This window comes from Homo sapiens, chromosome 4, assembly GCF_000001405.40.
Source record: "Homo sapiens chromosome 4, GRCh38.p14 Primary Assembly".
Taxonomy (NCBI): domain Eukaryota; kingdom Metazoa; phylum Chordata; class Mammalia; order Primates; family Hominidae; genus Homo; species Homo sapiens.
In genome coordinates this window covers 125,562,924-125,570,094 of record NC_000004.12, presented here as the reverse complement: position 1 = coordinate 125,570,094, position 7,171 = coordinate 125,562,924, and the positions used below count along the sequence as shown (strand labels likewise).

The following is a 7,171-nucleotide window of genomic DNA, read 5'->3' as shown; positions in this document are numbered from 1 at the left end:
CAAAAGAACAAAGCTGGTGGCATCATGCTGCCTGACTTCAAACTATACTACAAGGCTACAGTAACCAAAACAGCAGGTACTGATACCAAAACAGAGATATAGACCAATAGAACAATACATCTTTAAAAAGTAGAATGGCAAGAGCAAACCAAACACATTTTTTTTTTTTTTTTTGAGATAGAGGCTCACTCTGTTGCACAGGCTGGAATGCAGTGATCCAATTATGGCTCACTGCAGCCTTGATATCCTAGTCTCAAGTGGGCCTCAGCCTCCCAAGTAGCTGGGACAACAGGTGTGTTCAAACATGTCCTGTTGTTTTTTTTGTTTTTTGTGTTTTTTTTTTGGTAGAAACAGGGTCTCCCTGTGTTGGCCAGGCTGGTCTCAAATTCCTCAGCTCAAGTGATACTCCAGCATTGGCCTCCCAAAGTGCTGGGGTTACAGGTGTGAGATACTGCACCCAGCCCAAATCAAAATTTAGTAGAAGAAAATAATAAAGATCAGAGCAGAAATAAATAAAATTGAAAGGAAGAAAATAATATAAAAGATCAATCAGACAAAAGTTTTTCTTTTTTAAGTTAAACAAAATTGAAAAAATCTTTACCCAGACTAAGGAAAAAAAAGAGAAGATCCAAATAAATAAAATCAAAGATGAAAAAGGAGACATTACAACTGATACTGCAGAAATTCAAAGGATTATTAGTGGCTACTATGAGCAACTGTATGCCAAAAATTGAAAGATACAGAATAAATGAACAAATTTCGAGACACAGAAAAGCTTATAAGATTGAAATAGGAAGAAATCCAAAACTTGAACAGACCAATAACAACTATCTATATCAAAGTTGTAACAAATAAAATGTTTCCCAGTAAAGAAAAGCCCGGGATCCAATGGCTTTGCTGTTGAATTCTACCAAATTTTCAACAAAGAACTAATACTAATCATACTCGGGTTATTCTGAAAGACAGAACAAGAGGGAATGCTTCAAAATTCATTTTACAAGGCCAGTATTAACCTGATACCAAAACGAGACAAATACACACAAAAAGAAAAGAAAAATAAAACTACCTGCTAGTATATTGGATGAATATTGATGTAAAAATCTTAAACAAAATACTAGCAAACTAAATTCAACAAGATATTGAAAAGATCATTAATCATGACCAAGTGAAATTCATCCCAGGGATGCAAGGATGGTTCACTATATGCAAATCAATCAATGTGATACATCATATGAACAGAATGAAGGACAAAAACCATATGATCATTTCAATTGATGCTGAAAAAGCACTTGACAACATTCAACATCTTTTCATGGAAACAAAACTCAAAAAATTTGGTATAAAAGGAACATATCTCAACATAATAAAAGCCATATATGAGAGACCTATAGCTAGTATCATACTGAATGAGGAAAAACTGCAAGCCTTTCCTCTGAGATCTGGAACACAACAAGGATGCCCAGTTTCACCACTGTTATTCAACATAGTACTAGAAGTCCTTGCTAGAGCAATCAGAAAAGAGAAAGAAATAGAAGGCATCCAAATTGGAAAGGAAGAAATCAAAGTACCTTTGTTTGCAGATGATATGATCTTTATATTTGGAAAAACCTAATGACTCTATACGAAAACTATTAGAACTGATAAGCAAATTCAGTAAAGTTGCAGACTACAAAATCAACAACCAAAAATCAGTAGTATTTCTACATGTTAACAGTGAACTATCTGAAAAGGAAATAAAAACGTAATCCCATTTACAATAGCAACAAATAAAATTAAATACCTAGGAATTAACTTTACCAAAGAAGTGAAACAATTCTGTAATGGAATTAACTTTACCAAAGAAGTGAAAGAACTCTGTGATGAAAACAATAAAACACTGATGATATAAATTGAAGAGAACATCAAAAATTTGAAAAAGATTCCATGTTCAGGTATTGGAAGAATCAATATTGTTAAAATGTCTATACTACCCAAAGCAACCTGCAGATTCAATGCAATCCCTGTCAAAATACCAATGACATTTTTCACAGTAATAGAAAAAACAAGTCTTAAGTTTATATGGAATCACACACACACAAACACACTCTCCAGCATAACCAAAGCTATCCTAATCAAAAAGAGCAAAACTGGAGGAATCACATTATCTGACTTCAAATTATACTACAGAGCTTGTGGTATACTACAGAGATTGTAATACTGTATACTACAGAGACTGTAATAAATAATACTACAGAGCTTGTAGTATACTACAGAGATTGTAACCAAATCAACATGACACTGGCATAAAAACAGACATATTGGCCAGGCACAGTGGCTCACACCTGTAATCCCAGCACTTTGGGAGGCCAAGGCAGGTGGATCACAAGGTCAGGAGTTCGAGACCAGCCTGTCAAACATGGTGAAACCCTGTCTCTACTAAAAATACAAAAATTAGCCAGGCATGGTGGTGCACACCTGTAATCTCAGCTACTCAGGGGGCTGAGGCAGGAGAATCGCTTGAACCTGCGAGGCAGAGGTTGCAGTGAGCCAAGATCGTGCCACTGCACTCCAGCCTGGGCAACAGAGAGAGACTCTGTCTCAAGAAAAACAGACATATTCACCCATGGAACAGAATACAGAACCCAGAAACAAATCCACATGTTTGGCCTCTGAGCCCAAGCCAAGCCATCGCATCCCCTGTGACTGGCACGTATACGCCCAGATGGCCTGAAGTAACTGAAGAATCACAAAAGAAGTGAATATGCCCTGCCCCACCTTAACTGATGACATTCCACCACAAAAGAAGTGTAAATGGCCGGTCCTTGCCTTAACTGATGACATTACCTTGTGAAAGTCCTTTTCCTGGCTCATCCTGGCTCAAAAAGCACCCCCACTGAGCACCTTGCGACCCCCACTCCTGCCCGCCAGAGAACAACCCCCCTTTGACTGTAATTTTCCTTTACCTACCCAAATCCTATAAAACGGCCCCACCCCTATCTCCCTTTGCTGACTCTCTTTTCGGACTCAGCCCACCTGCACCCAGGTGATTAAAAGCTTTATTGCTCACACAAAGCCTGTTTGGTGGTCTCTTCACACAGACGCGCATGAAATTTGGTGCCGTGAGTTGGATCGGGGAACCTCCCTTGGGAGATCAATCCCCTGTCCTCCTGTTCTTTGCTCCGTGAGAAAGATCCACCTACGACCTCAGGTCCTCAGACCGACCAGCCCAAGGAACATCTCACCAATTTTAAATCAGGTAAGCAGCCTCTTCTTACTCTCTTCTCCAACCTCTCTCACTGTCCCTCAACCACTTTCTCCTTTCCACTCTTCAATCTCTCCCTTCTCTTAATTTCAATTCCTTTCATTTTCTGGGAGAGACAAAGGAGACACATTTTATCCGTGGACACAGAACTCCGGTGCCGGTCATGGACTGGGAAGGCAGCCTTCCCTTGGTGTTTAATTATTGCAGGGATGCCTCTCTGATTATTCACCCACGTTTCAAAGGTGTCAGACCACGCAGGGACGCCTGCCTTGGTCCTTCACCCTTAGCGGCAAGTCCCGCTTTTCTGGGAAAGGGGCAAGTACCCCAACCCCTTCTCTCCTTGTCTCTACCCCTTCTCTGCTTTTCTGGGGGAGGGGCAAGTACCCCTCAACCCCTTCTCCTTCACTCTTGGCGGCAAGTCCCGCTTTTCTAGAGGAGGGGCAAGTACCCCAACCTTGTATCTCTGTGCCCCAATCCCTTATTTCTGCACCCCAACCTCTTATATCTCTGTGCCCCAATCCCTTATTTCCGTGCCCCGACCCCTTATTTCTGTGCCCCTACCCCTTATTTCCATGCCCCTACCCCTTATTTCTGTGCCCCATCCCTTATTTCTGCACCCCGACCTCTTATCTCTGTGCCCCAACCCCTTTTCCCACTTTTCTGGAAGGTAAGAACCCCCGAACTCCTTCCCTCCATTTCTCTACTCTCTCTTTTCTCTAGGCTTGCTTCCTTCACTATAGGCAAACTTCCACCCTCCATTCCTCCTTCTACCCCCTTTGCCTGTGTTCTCAAAAACTTAAAACCTCTTCAACTCACACCTGACCTAAAACCTAAATGCCTTATTTTCTTCTGCAATGCCGCTTGACCCCAGTACAAACTCGACAGTAGTTCCAAATAGCCAGAAAATGGCACTTTGAATTTTTCCATCCTGCAAGATCTAAATAATTCTTGTCGTAAAATAGGCAAACGGTCTGAGGTGCCTGACGTCCAGGCATTCTTTTACACATCAGTCCCTTCCTAGTCTCTGTGTGCAGTGCAACTCGTCCCAAATCTTCCTTCTTTCCCTCCTGCCTGTCCCCTCAGTACCAACCCCAAGCATCACTGAGTCTTTCTAATCTTCCTTTTCTACAGACCCATCTGACCTCTCCCTTCCTCCCCAGGCTGCTCCTTGCCAGGCCGAGCTAGGTCCCAATTCTTCCTCAGCCTCTGCTCCTCCACCCTATAATCTTTTTATCACCTCCCCTCCTCACACCTGGTCTGGCTTACAATTTCGTTCCCTGACTAGCCCTCCCCCTCCTGCCCAGCAATTTACTCTTAAAAAGGTGGCTGGAGCTAAAGGCATAGTCAAGGTTAATACTCCTTTTTCTTTATCCCAAATCAGATAGCATTTAGGCTCTTTTTCATCAAATATAAAAATCCAGCCCAGTTCATGACTTGTTTGGCAGCAACCCTGAGACATTTTACAGCCCTAGACCCTAAAAGGTCAAAAGGCCGTCTTATTCTAAAATACATTTTATTACCCAATCTGCTCCCGACATTAAATAAAACTCCAAAAATTAAATTCCGGCCCTCAAACCCCACAACAGGATTTAATTAACCTTGCCTTCAAGATGTACAATAATAGAAAAAAGTTGCAATTCCTTGCCTCCATTGTGAGACAAACCCCAGCCACATCTCCAGCACACAAGAACTTCCAAATGCCTGAACTGCAGCGGCCAGGCGTTCCTCCAGAATCTCCTAGCACAGGAGCTTGCTACATGTGCCGTAAATCTGGCCAATGGGCCAAGGAATGCCCGCAGCCCGGGATTCCTCCTAAGCCGCGTCCCATCTGTGTGGGACCCCACTGAAAATCGGACTGTTCAACTCACCTGGCAGCCACTCCCAGAGCCCCTGGAACTCTGGCCCAAGGCTCTCTGACTGACTCCTTCCCAGATCTTCTTGGCTTAGCGGCTGAAGACTGACACTGCCCGATCACCTCGGAAGCCCCCTAGACCATCACGGACGCCGAGCTTCGGGTAACTCTCACAGTGGAGGGTAAGCCCGTCCCCTTCTTAATCAATACAGAGGCTACCCACTCCAATTACCTTCTTTTCAAGGGTCTGTTTCCCTTGCCTCCATAACTGTTGTGGGTATTGACTTGACGGCCAGGCTTCTAAACCTCTTAAAACTCCCCAACTCTGGTGCCAACTTAGACAATACTTTTTTAAGCACTCCTTTTTGGTTATCCCCACCTGCCAGTTCCCTTATTAGGCTGAGACACTTTAACTAAATTATCTGCTTCCCTGACTATTCCTGGACTACAGCTATATCTCATTGTCGCCCTTCTTCCCAATCCAAAGCCTCCTTTGTGTCCTCCTCTTGTATCCCCCCACCTTAACCCACAAGTATAAGATACCTTTACTCCCTCCTTGGCGACCGATCATGCACCCCTTACCATCTCATTAAAACCTAATCACCCTTACCCCACTCAATGCCAGTATCCCATCCTGCAGCACGCTTTAAAAATATTAAAGCCTGTTATCATTCACCTGCTACAGCATGGCCTTTTAAAGCCTATAAACTCTCCTTATGATTCCCCCATTTTACCTGTACTAAAACCAGACAAGCCTTACAAGTTAGTTCAGGATCTGCGCCTTATCAACCAAATTGTTTTGCCTATCCACCCCATGGTGCCAAACCCATATACTCTCCTATCCTCAATACCTGCCTCCAAAACCCATTATTCTGTTCTAGATCTCAAACATGCTTTCTTTACTATTCCCTTGCACCCTTAATCCCAGCCTCTCTTCGCTTTCACTTGGACTGACCCTGACACCCATCAAGCTCAGCAAATTACCTGGGCTGTACTCCTGCAAAGCTTCACAGACAGCCCCCATTACTTCAATCAAGCCCAAATTTCTTCCTCATCTGTTACCTATCTCGGCATAATTCTCATAAAAACACACATGCTCTCCCTGCCAATCGTGTCCAACTGATCTCTCAAACCCAAGCACCTTCTACAAAACAACTCCTTTCCTTCCTAGGCATGGTTAGTTCGGTCAGAATTCTTACACAAGAGCCAGGACCACACCCTGTAGTGTTTCTGTCCAAACAACTTGACCTTACTGTTTTAGCCTAGCCCTCATGTCTGCATGCAGTGGCTGCCGCTGCTTTAATACTTTTAGAGGCCCTCAAAATCACAAACTATGCTCAACTCACACTCTACAGTTCTCATAACTTCCAAAATCTATTTTCTTCCTCACACCTGACGCATATACTTTCTGCTCCCCGGCTCCTTCAGCTGTACTCACTCTTTGTTGAGTCTCCCACAATTACCGTTGTTCCTGGCCCAGACTTCAATCCGGCCTCCCACATTATTCCTGATACCACACCTGACCCCCATGACTGTATCTCTCTGATCCACCTGACATTCACCCCATTTCCCCACATTTCCTTCTTTCCTGTTCCTCACCCTGATCACGCTTGATTTATTGATGGCAGTTCCACCAGGCCGAATCGCCACACACCAGCAAAGGCAGGTTATACTATAGTACAAGCCACTAGCCCGCCTCTTAGAACCTCTCATTTCCTTTCCATCATGGAAATCTATCCTCAAGTAAATAACTTCTCAGTGTTCCATCTGCTTTTCTACTACTCCTCAGGGATTATTCAGGCCCCTTCCCTTCCCTACACATCAAGCTCAAGGATTTGCCCCACCCAGGACTGGCAAATTAGCTTTACTCAACATGCCCTGAGTCAGATAACTAAAATACCTCTTAGTCTAGGTAGATGCTTTCACTGGATAGGTAGAGGCCTTTCCTACAGGGTCTGAGAAGGCCACTGCAGTCATTTCTTCCCTTCTGTCAGACATAATTCCTCGGTTTAGCCTTCCCACCTCAATACAGTCTAATAACAGACGAGCCTTTATTAGTCAAATCAGCCAAGCAGTTT

At 43.5% G+C, this 7,171-nt stretch overlaps 1 annotated feature.

The window, feature by feature from the left end:
* Positions 2,565–3,229: an enhancer, noted in NCBI's record as "OCT4-NANOG-H3K27ac hESC enhancer chr4:126488021-126488685 (GRCh37/hg19 assembly coordinates)". NCBI's record gives its function as "activates a minimal SCP1, AML or CMV promoter by ChIP-STARR-seq in naive and primed H9 embryonic stem cells {active_cell/tissue: H9 hESC(naive and primed)}" and the evidence as "EXISTENCE:reporter gene assay evidence [ECO:0000049][PMID:30033119]".